Below are 27,254 nucleotides of genomic sequence, written 5' to 3' on the forward strand. Positions count from 1 at the left end.
TACCAGGGACTAAATGTAGCAACAAGGCCTCTTTCTTCATCCCCCCACCCTCTAGGAGGATCTAAATGACTCATTTTTTTAATGATAGGATGTGAGTAAAAGTCTGTTCTATAAATCTCTCCCTTAAACATTCCTCTCTTTCCCCACCTATTAGCTAGATATTGATTCCCAGAGAAATATTGGAAGCCATATACTGAAGTTGCTGAAGGCTCCATCGGCTTGGATCCTTGAATGTTAATGATTGTGTGAAGCAAAGTCCACCCTGATCTCTCTTTCTTCCACCTGATTGGTTTTTCACACGAGTGAGATTTATGCTTCTGTTGTGTTAGCCCACCAAGACATCATCTACATTTGTTAGAGTATCTAGTTTTACCTTAATACAAAGACTCATTTCTAATTTGAACACCATTAAATTTTTTTCTGTCCATAAGCTCCATTATACCCTCTTCTCAACTCTCATCTCCACCTCAAAAAGCAATCTCTTCTTCCTTTGACTGTCTTAGTTCATGATACATTTTTGACTGAGTACATTGGCTTATATTTATGTATGCATTTATCTTATCTATTATGCTTGATTTCTTTGAAAAAAAAGGTAGAATCTAAAGGAAGCCAGGAAGGGAAAGATTTTTTTTTTTTTTTATGACTGCCACTTTGTACTAGTATTTTCTTTCTTTACCTTTGGTTTACTACTACTACTCACCTACTCTTACCCACTTTGGCTATTCAGTCGAGCCAACAAATGGCTGTTCCTTGCATAAAAGGACTAGAGGACATGAACTAACCTCTATATTTTGTCTACTTTGGCTGAGATGATTTAGCTTTGTTAGCAACTAAGCTGGAAACTAGAATCCAGTTCACTTGACCCATTTTTTTTCTAGTACTTTTACCATCTGTATGATGGTTGTATGTAAAATCATCAATAGATTTGGATCAGAATAAATAGCCAGGTGTGTACAGTGGGAGAAAATTGGGCAGGTGGAAACTGGCTAACTGCTAAATTACAGAGGAAATAACAAGGAAAAATACCTCATAGCCAAAATAATAATAAAAAACTAAAATATTTCTAATGATAATCAGAGCCTGTACTTTTATTTTCTTTTTTCCCCCAAATGAAGACATCTTAGTTTATTAACCTGTTCACCTGTAAAGCCTGACCTTGTGTTTCAGTCACATGTGAATTTAATATTAACTGTCATGTTTACAAGAAAAAAAATTATAAGGTTCTCATTCTCTCCATCCAAGCTTGATTAGCAAGAACAGTAGTTTTACCAGTATAGGGCTGGAACAATACTCATCATTTTTTTCTAACAGAGGGTTAGACTTGATTTGGACTAAGGGCAAAAACTTGAAGCTTTGTCAGTTAAAGGTGGCCAACTTAGTTGTAAGCAAATGGGGAAAACCTGTAGCTTTGCTAGCTTGAAGTTGTGGTCCTGATTGGGTGAGCAACAGGCTATCCATGTGTTTAACTGGAGAAACTTGGAAATGACACAGCATAGAAAAGTTAGGATAAGCTCTCCACAGATCCTAGCTAACTGGGAAACTACGCACATGCACAGGGAAGACCCAAGAAAGGCCAGAGGAAAATGAAGCCAATGAAGAATTGAAAACTTGTTGAACTTTGAATGCATTCCTCAACATACACACAGATTGGTGGAGTGTAGAAGTTTTACACACTTGAGGTGTTTGACCACAACCTCCAGCCAAATCATTGGCCCACCACTAAAGTATGCAGGTAAAAGGGTGGACGATCAGAAGTCAGGCTAACAAATAAAAATAAATGCTTAAAAACTGAGTTAAGAATTAACTTCTTCATACTACAGGGGAGAGAGAGAGTCCACAGTTTAAAAACAGGCAAGTTACTTTAAAAAGAAAGGCCTTTAGAAAAATATATCACAATCCAGAGTTGCCACAATATATAATCTGAAATTTCAGTTAAAACAAAATAATTATGAGTCAAGGAAAGCATATTGTGATGCATGCATACACCAGAGGAAAAAATTATTAATAGAAACGGACTCTGAATGGGTCCAGATGTTGGACTTATATAAGACTTCAAAGCTGCTATTATAAATATATTCAAAGCATTAAAAGAAAATATGAGAAAAATGATTCAACATATAGGGAATCTGAACAGAGAAACAGAAACTGTATTTTTAAAAGATGAACATTTTAGAGTTAAGTAAAATAACCAAAGTGTAAGATTCACTAAATAGTCCTAACAAACAGATTTGAGACGGCAGAAGAAAGAATCAGTGAACTTGAAGATAGAGCAATAGAAATTATTCAATCCAAAGAGCAGAGTTAAAAAATTTTGAGAAAAAAAGTGAAGAGGATCTGAGATCTGCGGGACATCAAAAATAATAATATAGACCAGGCATGGTGGCTCACACCTGTAATCCCAGCACTTTGGGAGGCTGAGGCAGGAGGATCACTTGAGGTTAGGAGTTCGAGACCAGCCTGACCAACATGGTGAAACCCCGTCTTTACTAAAAATACAAAAATTAGTCACATGTGGTGGTGTGCGCCTGTAATCCCAGCTACTTTGGAGGCTGAGGCAGGAGAATTGCTTGAACCCAGGAGGCGGAGGTTGCAGTGAGCTGAGATCTCACCACTGCACTCTAGCCTGGGTGACAGAGTCTCTGTCTCAAAAAACCAACCAACCAACCAACCAACCAACCAACCAACCAATCAACAAACAAACAATATACAGGTAGTGGAAGTCCCATAAAGGGAGTAATGAGGGAAAGTCTCAGAAAAAAATATTTGAAGAAATGATGGCCAAAAACTTCCTAACTTTGAAAAAAAAATTATAGATATGAGAAACACAACAAACTCCAAGAAGGAAAAATACAATGTGATTCACAGGTATATATGCCATAATTAAGCTACTGAAGGACAAAAAGGTAAAGGGAAAGTGTTAAAAACAGTAAAAAAGAAAAACAACAATGACTTATGTACAGGGAAACCATTATATGGTTAATGTGGTTGAGTTCTCATGAGAAACATGAGAGGTAAGAAAGCCATGGCGTGACATAGTCAAAATGCTAAAAGAAGAAAAACCTGTAAACAAAGAATTCTATAGTCAGTGAAACTAGTCTCTTCTGAATACTAGTCTCTTCTGAAATAAAGATAAAATAAAAAACATTTTTAGATAAACCAAAACTGAGAAAATTCATTGCTAGCAGACCTGTCCTACAACAAATACTAAAGGAAGACCTTCATGGAAAGAAATGACATAAGATGGTGACATAAATATACAGTAAGGAGTAAGAACATCAGAAATGGGAAATATGTGGGTAAATATAGGATGGATATATATATAATTGTTTTCTCTCTTATTCTTTTAACTTTAAGAAAATATTGTTTAAACCAATAACTATTACATTGTAGTTTTGGCTTTATAGCATATATGAAGTGTGATATGTCTGAGAATAATAGCACAAAGTAGGGAGGAGAAAATAAAACTCTACTGAAGCTAAGTTGATATATGTTACCAAAATTAAGTCGTATTAATCTGAAGTAGATTGGGGTAAGTCAAAGATGTATATGATAAACCATAGAATGACCACTAAGAAAATAACTCAAAATTATGCATGAAAATCTAACAGAAGAATTGTAACTATATACTAAAAAATCTTTCCACAGAAGAAAGCAGTACATGAAGAAACAGGAACAAAAATGATGAACCATGTTAAAAACAAATTAAACTATATCAATAATTACACTATAATTTAAAAAATCCATCTAAAAGCAAATCCATCCACCATATTAAATGGAAAAACAAATATATCCACCCATAACAATAATCCCATTAAATGTAAATTGAACAGACACTGAAATCAGAAGGCAAACATGATTAGATTATATAAAAATAGCAAGACCTGACTATATCCTGTCTTTAAGAGACATACTTTAGATTCGAAGACATAAATACGTTAAAAATAGAAGTATGAAGAAAGATATACCTTGCAAACAGTAACCATAAGAGAGTTTTAGAGGCTATATTTATATTGAAAGTTACCTAAATGACTCTGATGTGCAGTCAGAAATGAGAACACCTTGCTTTACCCACAATGGGACTGTAGAGCATCAGGGAAGGCTTCCAGGAAGTAATTGTTGAAAGATAAGTTGATATCAGTCAGGTCAAGAAGGTGATGAGTTGAAGGTCATTTTGCCAAAAGGGAAGGATGCAGTGTGAGTGAGCATTAGGTCGTCAGGGAACTACAGTCTGGCATTGTTGCAAGGTTGAAGTGATAGGTTAGCAAAGGTGGAAGGTGATGCAGGAATGGAGTTGACAGGCGCCTGAAATGAGTGGTTTTACAAGTCATATACATAAGGCAAAAATTCTTTTATGTTGGCATATGAGGTTTTGAGTATAATCACTATGAAACAGGAAAAAGTGGGGGGAGAAAAGCAGACATAATCACAGTGATAGAGGGATAAGAGTACTTCAGAGAGAACAGGAAGGAGAGGAAGACAGTGAGCCAGTTGCCTAAGGCCTAGGACCCTTCTTAGTTTTTGTACATGTGCCAGTTTGCTGATTTGTGATAAATGTGGATGAGTTAATCTTATTTACCACACTTCATGTCAACAATAACATGCACAAAACTCTTATTTTCCCATAGAAATAGTGTGTTTGCACAGAAAAAGTCCAGTCAGTTTTGCCTACGTACATTTCAAATCTAAGACCTCTGGAACTGGAAGTGGCACTCCTTGGAACTCTCAGGGTATAAAAACTTCCAAGGTTTGGGTCTTTACAATATAACTTATTTCACAGTGCATTGTTTATAGTGGTGATTCCTAAACTTTTGTGTTGAAAACGTAGGTAATAGGGTCCCATGTCCAGATCTGTATCTCTAGGGTGGGGTTCAAGATTCTGCATTGTAACCAGCTCCCAACATGATTTGGCAAAGGCGTTTGTTGGATTCCTCTCTGAGAAGTATATAGTTTCAGAACTTTCATCTTTGGCCTTTTTTTCTGTGTATAACATCATAGTCTTTTTACATATGGTGGAAACTCTTTTTTTATAATCATGACTCTGTTCTGAAATTCAATGACCTAAAATTGTCAGAAGGAAAGATGCAAAAACTAATTTAAATGTCAGCAGATCAACAAAATCTTCAATGTATTTAAATATTGGAAATGTTATCAAACAGAAATGAATGTTAGGCAACAAAATACAAAGCAGTTACTTGAGGAGCTGCCAAAACTATTTTCAGAGGTAAGAATTTGGATGACGCTATTCAATGCCAAATTCAATCTCCTCAGCTTGTGAGGAAATCTACATCTCACCAGCCTCCACGATGTTGTAGAAAGAGCAGGGGCTTTGGAATCTGACCTAAATTTGAATGCCAGACCAGTTTTTCACAAGTGTGTTCCTTTGCATAAGTGTGCTACTTGGCCTTTTTGAGTTTTGTTTCTCTCACATACAATAGATGGGTAAGAATACAACTACACGCAGGTGTAGAGGAGATTCAATAAGGAAATGAAAATAAAGCATCAGGTACAAGAATGTACTTAAACACTGATTCCCTTTTATACATATTCGTAAGTACCCACATATGAAACTAAACTTGTAGCTGATAATGGAAAAGACACATTCTACAGCCCAGAGAATTAATTAGTAGATGATAAAATAGTACTGGTAGTCTAAGGATGCAATCCAGGATACTGACCTCTTTTATCTGTTTCTCAGGGGACTAGTTCTCCTTCCTCAATAGTCAAGGAGAAGGACAACACTCAGATCCTCCAGGTGTGTTTGGCATAAGGGTGATGGGGCATTGTCCTGTCTATCTCAGGGGTTCTCCAGTCCTGAGGGCTGGCCCAGGGACCCCTCCTTTAGTCCTAACCTGGCCTAATCACAGATCTGCATCCCTCCTACCCCTCAAACCTCTTCATTTTAGGCACCCTCACCCTCCCCGCCAGCAGATTTTGTTAAGAAAGACTTTGTTAATGGGTGGGCACTGTGGATCATGCCTGTAATCCTTGGACTTTGGGAGGCTGAGGCAGGCAGATCACTTGAGGTTAGGAGTTTGAAGCCAGCCTGGGCAACATGGTGAAACCCTGTCCCTACTGAAAATAAAAAAAAAAAAAATTAGCCAGGCGTGGTGGTGGGTTCCTGTAATCCCAGCTACTCGGGAGGCTGAGGCAGGAAAATTGCTTGAATCCAGGAGGCAGAAGTTGCAGTGAGCCAAGATCAAACCACTGCACCCCAGCCTGGGCAACAGAGTGAGACTCCATCTAAAAATAAATAAATAAATAAATAAATAAGTAAATAAATAAATAAATAAATAAATAAGAAATAAGAAAGACTGTTAATTACATAGGAGAATTGTTAAAGCACATAGGAGAATTGACAAAAGAAAATGAATCATGAGGCTGACATTTTAAATACAGGCATAGTAGACATTCTAATAAATTTTCTCTCAGTAATAAAATATTTGGCCTACACGAGTTCTGAAAAGGTTCAACAGCCTAAGAAAATGCAATAAGCTGCAAATGTAATTATGTAGGTGTCCACTCTGAGACTAGTGTTTAGATTACATTTCAACTTTTCAGGGAAAAAGAGTTGGATAACAATGTTTAAAGTAGAAAGTTCTATATCTTTTAATAAATTCAGATTTCAAGGTGAAACTGAGCATATTCTTTGCTAAACAAAGACGCTAGTTTGGCTGTGGCTCTCGAGCAGCTCCGGAGGCACAGGAAGAGGAGAAAAGGTGATTCATAAGAGGAGATAGACTAACAGCAGGTGCTGTTAATTCATTTTGAGTCTCATAAACGTGTTTTTTTTGTTTGTTTTGAAATTGATATAAAATGTGAATTTACTACTTATTTTTGCATATTGCAAATCTAAAATTTGGATTTTTTATTGTAAAGAAAACAGCATGTATAGCCCTTTTAAATAACAACAGGCTAGGCAATATTGGCTAATTTATATATCTAAAGGCTCAATTCTGAAGTGTAACACAATTGTTTTCAGTAGGAAAGATTTCAAAAGAAAAGAGGCATATAAACCATCTTTTTTCCTTTTCATTTATTACTGGATTCTGAGAAATGGAGACAAATTTAGGCAAACAAATTTAGAAAAAGTTCTTTTTGGAGTAAAGAATATTACCAATCAAGACATACTAGACAGACAATGATTTTAGAAAATTTTAGTTTTAAAAATTTTACCTAGCTTGTGTGATGTCTTTATTATATGATTATTACAAGATTCTATGAGTGTATGAATTGGGGTGTCAGTGATGTATGTGTATAAATCTATCTGTGTATTGGGTCAGCACAAATATCTGTGATAGGAAGATACAATTCCTTGCAATGAGTATCTTTCAAATGTGATTTTGGTTGAAATAATATTGTTGGGGAAATTATCTTTTCGATATAAACTGCCTAAGATTATAAGAAGATTCTGTATATAGATGTGGTGTTTGAAATGCCTAAAATAGTAAAGATAGGTTGATAATAATATATTTTTTTCATTTAACAGAAAGACCTTAGAACAAAATTAAAGCTGCATGTCTGGTAGCCTATAGTTACCTGTATTTTTCTTAAAACAATTCTGATGACTTAGTATTCAAAAGACCTTTTTGCACGACAATTCTATCAGGAAAGATCTGGGAGGAAAAAAATTACCAAACAAAAACGGTGATGGAGCAAACGTAACTGTTTGTATCTTATGGCAGCGTCTTGAAGAATAAAAGCTATTTTACCTTGCTTTTTTGTAGAGGTATGAATTCCAGATACTTATTTTACATATAAGGATAGTATCAAATATACGAATTTTAAATTTAAATAAAAGAAATGTCCGTTTTACATCAAGGAATTATGTGTTGACTCTCCATCCTACCCCTAGAATGGAGAATATTGTATTTCTTTTCTAAAATAAAGAGCAGATACAGAGAGTAGGAATAGCTTTCATAGCTTGTTCCCTACAAAATTTGAAGCTGCGAACTTTGCCATTTTTTAGTGTTCAGCTCAAGTTAAGTATACCGTAGAAAAATTTGAAGATGCCGAATCATAAATAATAGACACAGTTACAAAGCTGCTGGAAATTTCATAAAATTGCCAGTTTGAGCTTCAGTGAGCCACCAGGTCAGAAGCAAGTTCCCACTGCTCCATTCTCTGAGGCAAGCAATTGCGTGCAGCCTTGCATGAACTCCAAAGCCTGTGTAAAATGTGTCTTTTCTCTATATTCATAACTAAGACCTTAGCACCAAACACTGGGTGAAATGTTTTTTTTTTCTCTGTCCTCATAATTAAGACAGAACCCCACTGGCGTCTTTCCAGGTTTAGAAAAATGAACTTGTCCATTTTTGTGATAAAATTAATATCACAGACATATAACCTTAAAATTAAGGCTAGGAATACACACCTTGTTCCCTTGTACGAATATCTCTTCATATTCCATTTCCACTTCATATACCTTCTCTAGAGTGGGCAAATCACTTCAACAATTGCAAAGTAGGCTTCAGGAAACCAAGCCATTCTATGAAATATACAGAAGGGTCACAGAAACAGATCTCCCACCTGTTTAATGTTTCCAAAGAAAGGAGGAATCAAGTCCCCTGTTAAATACTCTTCTTCTTTTTTACTTTCTTTCTTTATTTCCCTCCTTTCCTTCTTCTCTCCCTCCCTCCATAATCTGCTAATTTGCTCCACAACATTTAATTATAATTTAAAAAAGAAAAATAATGTCACCACAAGTATCAGAGAAATTTCCTATAAACTAAGAATTTTCTAGTTGTTACTTAGAGTTCCTCATGCAAGATATTTAAATTAGGACTCTAAAGGGAAAGAGCAGAGGCATTTTCTATACTCAGAGACTGAGGAGTTATAAGCATTTTAAATATATTTTGATCATATTTATTAAGGATCAGAAGGCTTTTGAGAGCTAGTTTTAAAAAACCCTCTAAGTTTTAGAATAACCACCAAAGACATTTTAATTTGAAAGAACAAACAGGATTATGAGAATAGGTAACTTTTTCCTCAAGGAGCTATAAATGCAAGTCATTAGTAAAGTTCATTCGCTCCATCGGAATTCATTTCTTATAAGGTCTGCTGGATAATTATTCTTTCTAAACACGACAACAAAAACTGAACAGATGTTTAGGTAGATAACAAGTTTGATGGATAAGATATAATGAATCTGTTCTTTTCATTGTTTTTAATAAAAAAGAAATATCTGATGGTAAGGTTTCTTCAAGGTTCTTAATAGAAATATGTTTCCTAGATTAAAGAAGAAGAAAAAAAGCTGGTATAGAACTTGATGTGATACTAGGATAATGAAAAATGTATCACTTAACAAGGTTTGCATTATTCAGAGTTATGCCCATGCAAGTGTGTGCTCTAATCCCCAGCCAATACGTTGCTTGGTAACCAGCTACCTGCACACCTGCTCTGTAGCTATAAGAGACAGTGCATGTATGGTTATTGGCCATATTTAGTACTGAAGAAAGAGATAAAAATCTAACAAATATTAATATTTTATACAAATATGTATCTTTTACCTTATTATTGTAGTCACTGTTTAGCCAAAGGTTTTTTATTTTCTAAAAAGAATTACTGTTTCCCATCACACCATCACCTCCTGAGTAGCAAGAGAAAATACTTAAATTCCTTTCAGAGCATCTGTAATCAACTCTGTTTGCCGCAGACAACAGATGCTACCATTAGGAGGGATTTTGCACTTAAGAGAGAGAGGGAAGGCTGAATGGAGAATTTCCGTTTATAAAAGATTCCCACAGTGGAGGCAGAATCATTCTAGAATTGGTCTGACCGTAAGAGTCTGTCTACTTGAAGGCTTGATTAATGCAGCCCTAGAAATATCAGTCATTGTGATTAGCCTATGGTGTAGCCAGATTGTTCCTGATTATCTCCCTCTCAAGTTATGGTAAAGAACAATTTTTCCATTGATTGTATGGCAGTGACATGGTGGGGCAGCCAGAATAGGCAAGCTTTGGGACCAACACATGAAGCCTTGTATTGTTTTTCTCCTATTAGAAGGCTGATTGCACACTATGCACTGGAGCCTCGGGGCTGCTAGAAAAGGGTGCCCCAAGGGCCTTGAAGTCATTTTCTCTAACTCCTGGTGGTATCACAGCATTTTTTAAAAAAAGAGTTAGAAAGTATCTTTAGAGATCATTTAGTTCATTGGTTCTTAGCTCTCCCTACACATTAAAATCACCCGGGGAGCTTTTAAAACATACTGGTGCCTGGACCCCAGCTCCAGAAGATTCTGATGCTAGGTCTAGGGTGAGATTCACGCTAAAAAAGTCAAGAGGTAGAACAAAGCCAGGTATGTTATTCTAATCGATGGTCCCTCACTTAAGGGGGAACATCAACAGTGAGGAAGAGTCATTCCTTTTCCATTAGTTACCATATTTTTATTCTATTAGTTTTAATGAACGATTTTGTTCATTAAGCTAGAGCGGGGCTCTCCCAGTGCTCAGAAGCAAAGCAGCAGCCTGTTGGATCAGCCTGCTCTCACCTCCCTGCTTCCCTTGCTTCTTGGGAAATCATCCTGGAGCCACAGGTGGGCAATGAAGATTTTGCTCTGAGAAGGCTCTAACATAGATCAGACAAGTTCCTTAGAATTAACTCCTAGGCCACTTGGTTTTCAAGGCCATCTATTCGCCCTTGGTCTATTTTCTATCACAGATGATGATGGCACATAGCCCATGTCCTGCTGTGGGATTAAAGGACAGCATTACCATACTTCAAAACCAAAATACCAAATTATAAAGATGCATCCAAAGTGAGTATCAATTCCCTATGAGATGTCTAGGGAGAAATGAAAATCTAAAGCCTTAATAAATCCAGATGAATTCAAGTCCAAAATCGTATTTTCTTGCTACAGTGATTTGAAAGTCCAAGGAAATTAAAATCAATATTTCATCCTCCTCAGTTTGTTATTTTGATTAGTTTTAGTGAGAGATGTTCTGGATTCTGAATAGATTGGGAATTTTCCAGAGACTGTAGTCCAGGTAGAATCTAAGTAGAACTGGGGAGTTCTTCTGTCCCTCAGCAGTTGTCTTGATACAATTCCAAGTCTCCATGAATACCTCTTGTAAAGAATCTTGAGTGAATAGGGCATTAAAGATCATTGGTTAGAAAATAAGCCATCCCCTGGCCTTTGAACTGTTACTTCCTATCCCTGGTAAAATTGTGTTCCCAGAACACAGTATTTTACTTAAGAGTTGTCACAAGCTAGAGATACAATGGTAACTGCGTGGAGTCCCAAAAGAGGAAGAGTTCAGTTGCACCAGGAAGCCAGTCAGTTGATATCAGTTGTCCAAAACATATGACCTGTGACCTTAAATGCAATTGCAATGAGAGCAATATTCCAGCAAGAAGTCATCTAATTTGGGCACTGGGAACTTAGCATACTTGAGAGAAAACATTTCCTATATACCCGTCTCCTTCCTTTGACATGGTATTTGAGACATTGGTGACCTCGGAGAAAGAATAAAAATGTGCAATGGAGACAGCTCCTATCATTGGGTCTTAATAGAGCTGTATTTTTTCTCTTTGTTATCCCATACATTTGAAACTCTTCAAATTTATTTTCCCCTTTTGTATTTTCCCCTTTTAAATGCAATTACAGTGGGAAAAATATTCTAGCTAGCAGTTGGCTAATCTGGGCACTAGAAACTTAGCATACCTGGAAAACATAACCCTATATACACCCAGACTTCCATGGGGCTCTTCTGTATATATGGAGCTTAGCTGCTTCGCAGTTTAAAAGGCGCAGTTAAAAAAAAATCATTCCTCTTTCTGCCCCACCCCTCTATGGTCTGTTCCTCTCTTGTGATGAGGCTGGGCCGTTGCAGGGTTCTGTATATGCCATTCTGCATCTTGTTTGTGGAATAAGCCACAAGAAGAAAAGATCAGCCAAGGGGAAAACTGCATATGGCCTCTTGTCCTGCTAGGCAGTTAAAAACCAACTGCCTAACTGTCAAAACCTGCCACATGGAACATCTAAGCTTCTCTACTCACCAGACGGCCTCAAATCATGGGGAGCACCAAAGGCTTGGGACTTATGTATCCTCAATTGTCAGCATTTTGTCTCATTTCTCAATATTCCTGGTTCATACATCAGTTGTGGGGACTGAGGGGGATGGCACTGAGTTTATTTTCTAAAATTGTAAGGCTCCTTGCTGTGTTGAAATGCAGAGTAGAAAATGTGCTTTCTGAGGTCAACTTGCCACCAAGAGAGAAGAAAGAGGAATGTCTTTTTTTTTTTTCCTGCCAAATTCACCATCATATAAAATGCTATACCTGGAAGGGTGTGGAAGTAGGAGGACAGAAATAAGCCAGAAAGTTTATATTAATTGATGTCCTTTCACATTTAGGGAAACATCTGGAGTGGGAAAGAGATGTTCCCTTCTTAATAGTTGATGCTTCGCACTCACCTGTCTTATACCTGTTCTATATCCAATATCCACGTCTTCCTTTTTTTCCACTTCCTAAAAATCTGTACATCTACCCCTTTTGCTCTACCCACAATGCTACTGCCCAAGTCAGGCCTGTGCTTTCTCTTTTACTAAGAATTGCATTCTCCTCATTATGGGGATTCTGGCCTTTGTGCTCTGCCTTCCTCCTGCTGCCCCTGCCGCAACACACAAACAAGTAAAACTGAAATCTTTATCTTTTAGAGCACCACAGTCATCATTTTATTGTATATATCAGATGGTGTTATTCAGTATCCATGCTCAGTATTCATCAGTAGCTTCCCATTGCCTAAAAGATATTTTTCAGCTCCTGTGTTTGGTCTGCAAGATCCTTCATAATTTGAAAGGTGGTTAAACGTGTGGATTCCAGAGATGAAGATGTTGCTTCAAAGCCATTGAGTAGCTATGAGACTTTGAACTAGTAACTTGACTTCTTTGTGCCTCACTTTCCTCATCTGTGAAATTGGGGTGATAATAATAGTACTTATTTTAAAAGGTTTTTTGGGAGATCAAATAATCTGAGTGAAATACCTCTCATTGTACCTGGTACATTAAAAGTGCTCAATGATGAATCATTATTTTAATGTGTCCTCTGCTCACTTATCGAGCCCCATGTTCCATGGAATCCCCCATATTGTAGGGTCTACTCCCAGCTAATTGCTCTTTGACCCTGACCCATTTTTTCAGGTCGTTGTATCTTTCATCCACACTAGTCTTTCTGTTGGAATGCCTTTGCCAATTTTGACTGCCTGGCAAACTCTTATTCATCCTTCAATTCTCAGGTAAACTGCTTGGTCCTTGGTGGACTTATGTGTTGATTCTCTTGGGCTCTCATTAATAAAGCTAATACCCCTGTTCTCCTAAGACTGTGCACTTCTGAGGCCAAGGATTGGGTCTTTCTGTCTATGTTGCTATGCCTCACACAGCAATAGCCACATGGAAGCTGCTCAGAAATGTTTATTGAAAGATTGGCCATCCAAATGCAAATGAGAAGGTTCTTTTCCAGGGGAAAATTTCAGGTTGTTAAAGCTTTGCAAATCTGGTATTTTATGGAGAGCTGGCCCTTCATCCTATCATCTGATGCAATTCAGTGGAAACTTTAAATGAAAAAAGAATCTTAGGATACAGAAAGGTAATTGCTATTTTTTACTTCAAACTGCTTTTTAAAGTCTAAATTCAGAATTAATAGAGAATTTTTTACCTGTACTAATATACGGTAGGGGTGCAAGGAAGGGGAGGATAATTCACATCTAACTTTTTGGCTACCTTCTTTGCTGAAATAACTTTTTTAAAACTAGCGACACAGCTGATGCAATCTCTTTTCAATGAAGTGCAGTGCTGCCCTAAGTAAGTTGGTTAGTCTCAAGGCAAACAATTCATGTATACTGATCATCAGAGATTTTTTTTAACTTCTTAAAAGGTCAATTGGTTTATTTTCATGTATTTAGCAATAGTTTACAAAGCAATCTTTTAGAGCTGTCATTGTATTAATTTTCATGGTTTTAGTAATTGTGAATTTTATATTTCCTTGGGAAGCAATTAATACATTTAGGAAACTCTCCTGGGTTTCATAAACACTTCCAATTAAAATGCATTGATTTTGCAGTGGTTTCTTCTTGGTTTTCATTTACAAAGACTTGAAAGCAATTTGGGTGGCTTTCTGTAACCTGAATGTTAGCAAAAATGGGACAACTGAAGATAGTACCTCTTATTGCCTTCGAAGTTAATTAGTTCCATAGGTATTATTAGCCTGTAAGCACCTGGAGGGCAAGGGTAATGTCTTATTCATTATAATCTCTCACCCAGGGTCTAGCTGAGTCCCTGCATATATAAAGGACACAGACTGGTGTCCCAGCAGGAAGTTTGCATAATTAGAGAAGCTTTGCCATGGCCAGTGTGGAGCCTAGGAGGTGAATCAGCAAAGGGCTTGGGGCAGGAGCCTAGAAAGTGTGGGAAACAGGGCAAAAGCAACCTCTCAGAGGCACCTGAGCTGAGTCAAAAATGGAAATATAGTAGAGGAGCCCTTCCTAGGAAGCCCAGGAAAGGGGAGGAGGATCCCATCAAGAGACTTCTGGATGTAGTGCAATTCCCTGAATACATTTGAGGTTGAGGTTGCCTGGAGAATAGGGCTGAATAGATGTTTGCAGAAACTTGGGAAAGATGCCAAAGTCTGGAGATAGGAGTTGTGGTGAAGAGTGTTTGTGATGCTTTCTCACTTTGGTGTGTGTGAGGGTGCACAATGTGTTGTTATGTGGGGTTGTATGCATGTGGCTCTTTATCAAGAACTAGGCCACTATTGGAGCAAGGGATTGGATTTTTCCCAGAGGCTAATTCTTAAGTGTAAGGATCAATAGATGTTTTGACATTGTGATGCTGACTGCCACTTTTTTGTTAAAGAGCACAAAAGACAAAAAGTGGGTAGGAAAAAATCTAGATTTTCTTTTGTGATACCATCATAAATCTCCTATTAAGGAATCTTCTAGCCCAACCTTATTTCAGAGCTGAAGCAGCTAAGGACAGTTAGATTGTATGACTTGCTCCATTAGTGACAGAGATGAGACTAGACATTGGCATCCTTTAGTCTAAGAATCAGTCACTCAACACAGATTTATTGAGAACCTCCTAGATGCCAGGTCCTCATGGAGCTTACATTCCATGTGAAGAAGACAGACAATAAAGATGAATGAGAAAATTATGCCGTGCATCATAAATATGTTGTATCATATCATATTACATACAATGTGGAAAATGCTATGAAGAAAAAGCAAGGCATTTAAAATGGGGTGATCAGGGAAGGTCTCAGTAAGAAGATGGTATTTGCACAAAAAAAGAGGTAAGGGAATGAACCATGATGATATATGGGGGAGAACATTCTAGGCTGAGGGAATAGGAAGTATAATGAAGGCCCTGGGATTGGGAGGCAATGCTTGGTGTGTTTGAGGAATGACCGGGAGCTGGTGTGGCCGGAGTGATGAGCAGAGTAGTAGAAGGTGAGATCAGATAATATGAAGGAGGGGGTGCAGATCAGAGAGAATGGTGTAGGCCAGGTAGGGCTTTCTCTTTGAGGTGGGAACCACAGGAAAGTTTTGAGCTACTTTATCTGTTTTAGATTTTAAGAGGATTATCCTGGCCGTTGGGCTGAAAATAAACTGAAAAGGGAAAAAGGAAAAGGGTAGAAGCACTGTGGCAGATGGGGAGGTCATAACACTAATCCAGGAGCAGAATGACAGAAGCTTGTGGCCTGGGGGGTAGCAGTGAAGGTGGAGAGGTGATAAGATAATGATGATTACAACATTGACCTTGGTCTAGTTTATTTCAATTATCAAATAATTTTAAGTATTTATTACAGGCTGAGTATCCCTAATCTGAAAATTTTAAATAAGAAATGCTTCAGTGAGCATTTCCTTTGAGCATCATGTCAGGGTTCAAAAAGTTTTGATTTTGGAGCATTTTGGATTTTCAGATATGGCATGCTGAACCAGTAAGTATATAATGCAAATATTCCAAAATCCTAAAAAAAGTGAAGTCCGAAACACTTCTGGTGCTAAGCATTTTGGATAAGGGATACTCAACCTGTATTTTCTAGGCATCTCGCTAAGGGCCGGGGATACAGAATTATATAAGAGCCAATTTCTACCCCTGAGGAACTCAATCTTATGTAAGAGACAACTATAAAAAATATTAGGAACATTACAATGTGTTTTGGCAAGCACAACAATAGAAATACATTCAAGGTGCAGATGCAGAACCAAAAAAGAAGGCAGGAAGGGCTTCTGTGAGAAGCTGTATTTTGAAAAAGAAATAAGCTTTCTGGAGTTTCCCTCCCAGTAGCAGGAAAAGCAAGATTTGTAGGGCAGTATAAGCGATTGAGTTGTTCATTTCTGTTTCATTCTTAGTGCTGCAGTAGGTTCAAAGTATTGAAACGAGGATCCTCAAATTCTTGCCCTGTGCCCCAAGAACAGTCTGGCAGGGCTTGTGGTTTAAGGTTTGTCTTGGAGAATGAGTTCTATGTGGCACGAACAGCTAAGTGTAAAGATCCTAAAATATAAACTTGCTTTGTATGTGAAGAAACAACAGGAGGTTAGAGGGATGGAATGCCAAGAAAGAAGAAGAGCAAGACAGCCAGTCAAATGCCCTGGAGCCATGGGAAGAGCTTGGGGGCCATCAAAGGATTAATCTGGAATTGCAGGATGAGGGAGAGGGAGAGCGATCTCGATACTTTGAATTGAAAAGGAAAGTGACCTGAGAGGGGTGTGGTAGCTTCTTAGAGTTTGATAGGGATTCAAACTTCTAAGAGTTTGATGGAGACTTCTTTAAGTACAGGATAGGAAGGCATCATACAATGGGAATGGTACACGGATGCTTGTGTGGAGGTGGTGGACAAGTCCAGCGGTCTTGGAGCAATGGCCAAGTTCCTCTGTGGACAACCCTACAACCAATGCAGAGTGACATCACTCACAAGGGGTTGTAGAGTGCAGTGATTAGAGCAGGGACTCTGGAGTCAGGCTGATGGGTCAAATCCCAGACTTACCAGCACCCTGGTGGTTACTTAATCTCTGTGCCTTGGCTTTCCCACATTCAAAAAGGGGCTGGTGGGAATAGTAGCAGAGAAGGAAAAACAATTTTCCCCTTATCCTTCTAAGTTCTCGACTGGGGTCTCTGTAACAAAAGATAGATTAGTAAGAGAAAAACAAACATGTTTATTAACATGTTGCATTGTGCATGTGACATATGAGAATGCCCAAAAATGAGTACTTCAAAGAGGTGATTTAGAACTTTGGCTAACACAGCATCTTCTGCACAGAACAAAACCTTTTTAGAGAAGTGACAAGACAAAGAAAAGGAAGCTTGAGTCTCTAAGGTAGCCAATTGAGGGAGGGCAAATACATGGGACACTAGTGGCGAGTCAAGGCTAATAGTGAAGTTCGTGACATAGATTCTTCTGGTGCCAGCTCCAGGATGATAAGGGTCTCAAGTCATGTCTGTCTGGTGATTAACTTTTTGTCCTCCTTGGACACAATTTATGTCCTGCTTTTAGGCCCTAGAAGGGAGACAGAGAAATTTTCTTACATCTGCTTGTTCTCTATTGTCTTTGGCTCAAAATAATCCTCATGCCAAAGTGGCATATTTTGAGGCAGAATATTCTGCTACCCTTCAAGTATCTATCTCATAGAATTGCTATGAGGAATATGTAAGCTAATATATGCAAATTGCTTAGAACAGGGGCTAGCATGTAGTAAGCGCTATATAAGTATATGCCATTGTTACTACTACGCTCTGGAAAAAGCATTTGCGCATGCCCTGCAGAGAGCTTTGACATAGGCTTTATGTAAGGAGAACAGTCACAATAAAGCTGACCACGTGGACTGGGGAGAAGGCCTCTTTCCTGTGTGAGCCCTTACAGAATTGGGATTCTTATGGCACTGAGAGGTGACTGGGATTGAATTTCTGAGCAACTCTGGCTAAAAAAAAAAAAAAAGGCTGAGGCAGTTTTAATTTGATCTAGAAAAATAAATATGATGTTTCTCAAGTGTCTCATGAAGAAAATTCTTACTGGTTACATGAGCTTAGGGAACTCTAAGCTGCTATAAATTGCGGAAAGATAGTTCTGAGGTGAGGATAGGTGGCAAGTAACGGTGAAAGGTGAGCAGGGATCAAATCTAGATGGACCTTAAGTGCCCTTCTAGTGACCTTGGCCTTTATTCTGCAGATGCTGGGGAGCCAGAGAAGGAATTTTAAGCAGGAACAACAGAATTCGATTTAGATCTTTAATAACATTGTTGGCAGCAGGAGCATAGACATAAAATTGTCAAGGCTAGAGAGAAAAAGTGATCAGTTAAAGGCTGTTGTGGCAGTTCTGCGGGGAAAGAACAGTGACCCAGATAAAGATATTGATGGCAGGGATAAAGAAGGCTCCATAGAGTGGAGACATATTTAGAAAACGTGGGGCTGGGCACGGTCGCTCGTGCCTGTAATCCCAGCACTTTGGGAGGCCAAGGCAGGCAGATCACCAAAGGTCAGGAGTTTGAGACCAGCCTGGCCAACATGATGAAACCCTGTCTCTACTAAAAATACATAAATTAGCTGGGTGCGGTGACGGGCACCTGTAATCCCAGCTACTCTGGGAGGCAGAGGTTGCAGTCAGCCAAGATTGTGCCACTGCACTCCAGCCTGAGCTGTAGAGTGAGACTCAGCCTCAAAAAAAAAAAAAAAAAAAAAAGAAAAGAAAAAAGAAAAAAGAAAACATGGATCTGATATTGCAGACAAAGAAGTCGGGCTTTGGATATGAGGACTCCAGGAGGAAGAACAGGTTTGAGGATGACAGTGAGTTCTGTTTGGCTCCTGTTAAGCTTGAGGTGCCTGTGTCTAATAGGAGGTGTCAAATTCTGGCTAAGGCAGAGGTTTGGGAGTCCTAAAGATTGAGGAGGTAGAGTTGTATACGGCAGAATGGTAAAGTGGGAAGAGAAAGGGCTGAGGCCCGAAGCTTGGAAGCCCCAAAGGCTTTCGTTGGGATCACTGAGAAGAAAGGTCAGACTGACAGAAAGATAACAGGGAGAGGAATGAGGGAAGATGTTGCTGGGATGCCTCCTGGTTAAATTCGGGGGTTTCAGGAACTGAGGACTTTGTTAGCACACTGCAGTAGACTGGCAGGGGAAGAGATCAGCTTTCAGTAAGTCAAGGCTCCCTGGAAAAACAGGAATGGAGCTTGAATTTTATTTTGGAGAAATGGTTGGCGCTCTGTGAGAGATATATTTGGAATCATTGTAAATATGGTTTTTCCTTGCATGAGTGAATCTTAGATAGTTAGGAATATTCAGAAACAATACAGCATTCAGTGGGAAAACACTCAGATGCCTCATTGGACTCAGTGGTGTCTTTTATTAACTGTAACACCTGCCATTTCACAGCCTGTGCTGCCATCTCCAGATACAAAGTGAAGGGGGCCCTACAACAAGTATTGGGCTAATTGAAGCCTCCAAATAACAAAATAACAATCAAACTCTGTATTGCAGACTCAGTCATTTGTACATTCATGCATAAGCAATTTTTTTTTTGATGGAGTGAAATGTATCTGATCTGAACTGTTCATTTAACAAATATTAATGAAGTTGCCTTAACGTGCCAGGCACTGTGCTAGGCTCTAGAATTATGGTGGTGACTCAAATGGACTAGGTCTTTGCCCTGAGGTCATTAATGGTTTCATGTAGAATGACAATACTAAAACAATAATTACATGTGTAAGGAAATAAATGAGGCCGGGTACAGAGGCTCATGCCTGTAATCCAGCAGTGAGCCATGATCGTACCACTGCATACTCCAGCCTGGATGACAGAGTAAAACTCTGTCTCAAAATAAATACATAAATAAAAAATAATAAAATACTTTAAAAAAAGAAATAAATGAATAAACACAGGGAGTACAGCAATATTCAGTGGTCAGGGGTGTGGACTCTATTCACCCCTTTACTTTCATGTGGTGTAGGTGAAAACACCATTTCTGATGTTTCCTCCATGTAGAGGGATATCTATCAGACATTCTACCTGGCGTCTGCTGCTCCATCATCACTGCATCCATCATCACCAGAGGAGTCTCCTCTCCTTCTGTGGGTGAGTTCTGGAGAAGACCTGGGCACACTGAGCTCAGCCACTTCCCCTTCCTGGTATGGGTCTTCCCTCATGACTTCACCACCACCTTAATCACCTCCTAAAGGCCTCACCTTTTAATTCTGTCACATGGGAGTTTAAGTTCCAACAAATACCTTTTGGAGGGGTACAAACATTCAAACCATAGCATGGTGATGGTGGGGTCATATGCCCAAGAGATGTATAGGATTCACTGTAAAGATGGCACATAAAAGAGGACATATATTAATGGAGAAACCAGCTTGGATGTAAATAGATGACCGAATCTTGCTTAGATGTTGGTCTGATAGGAACATATTGGTTGGTATTATTCCACTAAGGAAAGCAAAGATACAAAAAATAAGCAGTTTTTGTTGAATAAACAAACCCACTGGCAGACTCAGAACTCGTGCACTTGACAGCTCTCCCTCACTATGGGGAGACCCCACAAGACTTGTTAGAAGAGCTCGTTAGGAAAACAGATGCCTTGGCCAGAAAACAAAGGGACAGTACAAGGAAAGAGACATTCAGTTTCAGCAAATAATGCTAGCTTTATTAGGGACAAAAGGGGCCAATTGAAGAGATTAAGGCTGTTACAAACTCCACTTAGCCTTCTTGAATGGAATTAAAAGTCAGTGCAGGGAAATAAAACTCTAGAAGCACACCTTCCTACTACAGAAGATGTTGCATGTGGAACTGCTACATGGTCTGGAACATTCAAAGCTTAGAAAAGACTGTCTTGGAGAGCCTGTGGCAAAGGCATTGGGCATCACCAGGCTGCCAGGGGCTCAAACCTCAGCAGGTTCAGTTCAAGAATCTGCTGAGAGCGATTCTGTGGCTGAAGCAAATGTGGCATTAAGGAGGAAGCTCCCCAAAAGGCATCCTTTACAATTTCAGGGCAGCCCTGGGACTCAGGACAGAGCTATCTGCCCTGGGGAGATAGGGGAGGAGTGGAGGCCGTGTTGCCAGACAGAGCCCATTGAGACACATGGAACTAGAAAGGAAATGGGTTTTAGGATGTTTCAAATATATTGGGTGGGAAAGAGGGACATTTCTCAACTTAATTAGAAGTCAGCATTGTTTGTTTGAGAGAGGACACAATTTGTCTAGTGGGATTTTTCCAGTAGATATGGTCAACAAACTGCTGTGACTTCTCAACCGATGGGCAGTTTTTCCTAACCAAGTTGAAGGTCCCAGGCCACATGTTCTGGACACGTGGCATGCACTGGCTGACATCCTGCCAAGGCTAAGACCCAGGTATTCTTCGTCTACTCTTCTTCCCTCGGAAACTGCCACATCTTTGGCAACACTAAGCGTTTGGTTCTGGCCCTAGGGCTTTGAGAAAGTTATAAATACATTAGGAGTTGAGGATTCCCTTCTCTGCCACACTTGGCCTGTGTAGGGTCAGGGCTGGGATTCTACTGTAAATCCCATTAACTCTTTAGGCCCTTGATTAAAGTAAGGCAAATATGAAAGACATTTGTCTTTTGAGGTCCTGAAAAGTTCTAGCCTGGGCTGTGAGAGTTAAAGGAGTAATATATGCAGTGAAACTAATAATGAGAATAATTATTATGTCAATGGAATGCCTCTTCTATGCAAGGTAAATCGTTTAAAATTTAAAATTAATTTTTTTTTTTGGCATTTTTAAGTCTGCCGAAGTAGTGAGAGGTAGGACTGGAGAGCCTGGAGAGGGAAGACAGGCCAGATTGGGCGGGGCCTCACCTTGTGTGCTTCATCTTGAAGGACGCGTGCAGCTATCAGGCAGGAGTTTTGGGAAGGAGAGTTTGGTGATCAGATTTTGACTTGAAAAATCCATCTGATTGGAGTGTGGAGGTTGCGTATGGGAGGACGGGGGCATGCAGTTAGGGAGATCAGTAGAGGGGCTGTGGACATAGCACAGGTGAGAAATGACAGCGGCCTTTATCCAATGTAGTGGGAGTGGTAGAGATATGGGAAGAGGTGGAGAACAGATGGGCCTTGTTGAGTGGATGTGGAGTTTAAATGTTGTTATCTAGAACTATTTACATGCTTTTAGCTTAGACAACTGGTCAGATGGTGATGTCCTTCATGAGATAGGGCATAAAACAAAACAAAATGAGCGCAGCAGTGGCAGTAGTAGTAAGAGGTAAGAAGGCTTTTTGCGCTTAGTAAATTCCAGGCTGTGCATCGATTACCTCATTTAACACGGGCAACAATGCAATGTGCTAGTTATTATTAATATGTGGATTTTACAGAGGAGGAAACCCAGGCTCAGAAAGGTGAAAGAACTTGCTGGTGGTTACACTTCTAAGAATCAGGGAAAGAAAATTTGGAATCAGATGGATCTGGACTCAAATTCTGGATCCCCTAGTTGTGGGAACTTAGGCATGCATAGTAACTGGTCCTATCACGGAGATGACACTTACCATGTAAGATTCAGGAAGATGGCAATTAAGGAGACTTCAGCATGGTGCCTGGTGTGCAGTAAACACAGAGAACGTAACCATCACTGACAGCATGTTGTTCAATTATTACCATAAACCTAATAAGCTAAGAGTTAGAAATATTCTCATTTCATGAACTTGTAAAGTGAAACCCAAGAAGGGCAGTTGATTTATTTATTTGTGCAACATCAGGAAGCTAAATGAGGTTTTCTTATTTCTAAGCCATCTTCTTTTTACTACACCAGGCTGTCTTTCATTTGCTTGGGAGTAAAAGGATCAATAATTAGCTTTCTGAGGTCTTGAGAAGTTATTAGCCTCCAGTAAAGCTAGAAACTATGTGGGCTCCTGAGGTGATTTTTGCATTTGTGGCTGTGGCAAATTGCAGCTCGAGGGTTCTAAGCTCTTAATTTGTTATCATTAGCAGATGTGATAGATTAGCTTTCCAAGTGGTTCTAATATTGCCTCAGTGTTGAGAGCCACTGTCTCAGAGACATTCCACCACCTGAGTAGGAACGACTGCAACATGTCCAGGGAGTACTGTTTGTAATAGCAAAAAACTGGGGGCATGGGGGTGGGAAACTCCAAATGCTCGACAGGAGACAGGATAAAGAATTGTGCAGTGCATGCTCCTCAGTGGAATTTAAGCGCTAGGAGGGGAGAGATTGTGTCTCTTTTGTTCACTGCTGGATCCTAGCACCTAGAACCACGCCTGGTAAACATTCAAATAAGCACTCCGCTATTCTTTTAGCACTGAATATAGTATATTTACATAATCCCATTATATGGTCCATCTGACAGCAGCAAATAGCAAATGGATTACAGCTATATGCACCAACAGGGATGAATGTCAGAAACATGAGTGCGAACATAGAAGGCCAAAGAATACCTGCAGTATGATGCCACTTTTTAAAGTTCAAAATCAAGCGAAACTAAATAACAGAATAATTAGGTACATAGCCAGTGAGACAACTCTATAAATAAGTACAATAGAAGGATAAAAGATGAAGGTTCAGGATTGTAGTTGTGGCGGTACAGGGGTGGGGGCGTGAATATGACTTTGGAGAGGGACACATAGAAACTTGTTTTGGAAATGTTCTGTTTCTTAAGTTGGGTGGAAGGTTCATGGGAATTTGTTTTATTAGGCTTCCTATCTTAATATTCCTTGAATATACACATGCTGTTAAAAATAGAACTGATGAGGCCAAGGCAGGTGGATCACTTGAGGCCAGGAGTTCGAGACCAGCCTGGCCAACATGACAAAACCCTGTCTCTATTAAAAATACAAAAAATTAGCTGGGCATGGTGATGCATGCATGTAATTCCAGCTACTTAGGAGGCTGAGGCACGAGAATCGCTTGAACCCAGGAGGTGGAGGTTGCAGTGAGCTGAGATCACACCACTGTACTCCAGCCTGGGCAACAGAGCAAGACTCTGTATCAAAAAAATAAAAAATAAAAAGAAAAAAAAGAAAGAAAGAAAAGAAAATAGAACTGATGGTAGGTTGATCAAATGGAAGCAGGTAACAGAAGGATGGTGCACCAGAGATGAAATATGTGAGCTTTGCTTTCTTCTTGCTTTAGTGGGGGCTCCCTCTAGGAGGCTACAGGAAACCTCCTGGAGCCATCACTGAGGTAGCCTTCATGGGAAGGTAAGGGAATACAGTCCTCTTGGACTTGTTGAAGGGCAACCATGGGGTGATAGATCAGCCTCACCTTCTGCGAGGGGAGAATGCCTGGAGCCACCAGGAGGTGAGGGGCCCCTAGTCTAGTGTTGGAAGGAGCTGACCATGGGCCTTGTGCTGATGCTGATGATGGCAGCTACACACAGTCTGGGATTTTGTTCTGGATTCTATCCTTGACCCACCCACTAAATTCTGGGTGAACTTGGCAGACACCATTTTGGGCTCCAGTCCCCTCATCAGTAAAATTAAAAGATGAGACAGGAGCATTTGTCATCAGCCTGTGTCCATGTCACCTTTATAGTTCCCTGGCGATTCTGTTGAGTCATTCAGGGAGGGAGAGGGTTCAGTTGAAAATGGAGGTCCTGGCCCTGCCACCCCCCGGTTCAATCAGGGCGGCCACTCTTATGGATTTTGTATGTTTAGGTTCTGTGTATGATTTCATTTCAGAGGAGAGTTCTGCTGCTGAAATAAAAAGTAATGCAAACTCAAACAATTAAAGGTTTGGAAAACACTGATCTAGACTAGTGTTTCCCAAACCTACTTGTACATCAAATGATCCCAAAGAATTTAAAAAGAAAAGGAAAACAACTCAGATTCCCTGGACCTCACCCTTGACTTACGGAATCAGTATCTCCAAGAATAGGGTCTCCAGGGGCCTTTATAATAGCTCCCTACATGGACCTCACAGACGCAGCCCATCTCTGGTCTACAGACTGGTTTTTGGAAACTGCTCTTGTGAAGGAACTTTGTTGGCATTCTCTTCCCAGCACTAACATACCATGAGTCTGTGTTTATATTCCTCCTGTGTATAACACCTTCTGTTCCATTTGTTTATTTTTTTCCCATTCCTATAAAAACAACAGCGTCTAAGAACCAAAATATCAAAATGAAGCTGCCATCCTATTTTTATTATTTCCCTGTGCACAAAATTTAGGGTTGTTTTTCTGGTTTTTGTTTCTCGCCCCCTCCCCACCCCAACCTCTGAACGTTGTGTATAAAAATAGGCTCTTTGTTTTTCTACACTGCCTACTGCTGAAGCTCCCACATGCTTTAGAAATCATGCCATTCAAGTTGGAACAGATACTAAAGGAGCCCGGGGAGTAATTTCTCCTTGCATCATTTAGGCGACAAAATATTTCCAAACTGTGCTCTGACATTGACTTTGAAATATTTCTCCCTTCCTGTTTGCCCCCACCCACTGCAAACATATAAGCATGCTTGATTGAATAGCCCACTGGAGAGGGTTAAAGGCAAGACTGGGAACACCTGCTCTTGAAAGAGTGTGTGTGGTTAGTACCCTTTAACAAAGGAATATGATTCTTAGAAAGGCCAGTGAAGGGCAGATGGAAGAATAGAGGGAATATGTGGGCTAAAACATGAGGTCAAACTAAGAAGATTAAGACTTTCAGCCTACAGAGATGAAGGCTGCATGGGGAGATGATCAAAGACGACAAAGCCACAAAGGGCATCAATATGTTTGTGTTCACCAAATTCCAAAGTATGAGAAGGAGCAGGGAGGACTCTTTGAAGCCTGAAAGAAGAGAAATTTAGAAAAAAATAGAAAAAAAAAAACCACATTAGTTTACACAGTGAGTCATAAATGTTTGGAACGAATCACTCCCAAGACATGGTCTGGGTTGAAAAGAATAAAGGTTCAAAGAAGGTGTAATGTATTTATGCGTCGTAGAGGCACAGTGGTTTTTAGAGGGTGCATTACACCGTCCTGTGGTACCTCTCTGGAGTTTAATGTTTGGATCGGTACCATGTCAAAGACAGAATGCTAAGCTATGCTTACTCTGCAGGTGATCTAATATGACAAAACTTACATCCTTAAGAGGAAACACTTTATTCTGCCAAATGCCTCAAAAATTTTAAATAATGGACGCCATTTCCTCAATCTGTAAGGATGTCTTGCTTTAAGAAAACTCTCTACTCCTTCTGGAATGCCTGAGGCTTGTCAGTTGCTGGGAGCTGTTTTCATGAACGCAAGAAGGCTGGGGTGGGATTGAAGCAACTGCTATGGTGGATGCATTATGTAACCTCTAACCAGCTTACCATGATGCGGGAGGGGCGTGGAGGGGGGTGTTGGGGGTGGGAAAGACAGGAAGGGACTTCCACTGGTGCTATCGTGTACCCCATGGGGCCCACACTAGTGAGAAAGCCACATAATTATCCTTGGTGCCACCCATGGGAACTCCTTTCTGGGGCAGGTGTGGCCTTTCTACCTTCACATTCCTCCTCAGTTTTGCAAAGGGCTGACCGTTGAAGTAGACAGACAGTGGAACCTTGTATCTGGGGATGTGAAGTCAGACATAGAAAGAGATGAAGATGAGAAGGGATATAAAAGCAGCAGTTGTTAGATTCTTTTAAACCCTTTCTCAGATTCCAATGAAATATATCTAGAAATAAAGTGTTCTACGAATAGTTCACCAAACATTGGGACTAAGAGTTGATTCCTTCTCAGCCTATCAAAATTGTACTCTAGAAATGGCTGAGTTATATAAGAAATTTGATTAGAAGTTTGTTCTACGAATAGTTCACCAAACAGTGGGACTAAGAGTTGATTCCTTCTCAGCCTATCAAAATTGTACTATAGAAATGGTTGAGTTATATAAGAAATTTGATTAGAAGTTTGTTCTGGTTATCTACGGCAGTGCAACAAACTACTCCAAAACTTAGTGGCTTAAGGTAACAGGCAATGAATTATGCTTATAGAGTCTATAAGCCAGTAACTTGGATGGTTAATCCCTCCTCCACAATGAATGGGACCTCCAAATGGCTGAGGGCTGCAGTCCTCTGGAGGCTTTTCACTAGCATGTCTGGCTGGGATGACTTGAAGCCTTGGCTCAATGGAAAATGTCAGCCAGGGCACCTACACATGGCCTCTATGTGGCTTGGGATTTTCACAGCACAATGTTTGGGTTCCAAGAGGAAGCATCCAGACATGAAGCAGATGGATCCACATGGCCTAGTTTCAGAAATCACAAAGTGGTCACTTTTTCTGCCTTCTTTTGGCGTCAGTGAATCACTAAGGCCAGCCCATATTCAAGGGAAGGGCATTAGATTCTCCTTGAGGGAG

The 27,254-nt window shown here is 39.7% G+C and overlaps 2 long non-coding RNA genes across 4 annotated transcripts; one reads left to right on the forward strand and one right to left on the reverse strand.

The window, feature by feature from the left end:
* Positions 1-6,201: 6,201 nt before the first annotated feature.
* LOC124902992 (uncharacterized) lies at positions 6,202-11,944 on the reverse strand. 3 transcript variants are annotated; one of them, XR_007063415.1, is made up of 4 exons: positions 9,507-11,944; positions 8,372-8,485; positions 7,537-7,613; positions 6,207-6,240 (listed from the first exon to the last, which is right to left on the reverse strand). It is a non-coding gene; the product is annotated as an uncharacterized LOC124902992 (long non-coding RNA). The 3 variants fall into 3 exon arrangements; XR_007063417.1 differs by having other exon boundaries at positions 11,660-11,734; XR_007063416.1 differs by lacking the exon at positions 7,537-7,613 and having other exon boundaries at positions 6,202-6,240.
* LOC124902993 (uncharacterized) lies at positions 11,938-23,528 on the forward strand. The gene is made up of 3 exons (XR_007063418.1): positions 11,938-12,039; positions 13,137-13,231; positions 19,967-23,528. It is a non-coding gene; the product is annotated as an uncharacterized LOC124902993 (long non-coding RNA).
* The last annotated feature ends 3,726 nt before the right edge of the window (positions 23,529-27,254 follow it).

This window comes from Homo sapiens, chromosome 12 (genome assembly GCF_000001405.40).
Source record: "Homo sapiens chromosome 12, GRCh38.p14 Primary Assembly".
Classification (NCBI taxonomy): Eukaryota; Metazoa; Chordata; class Mammalia; order Primates; family Hominidae; genus Homo; species Homo sapiens.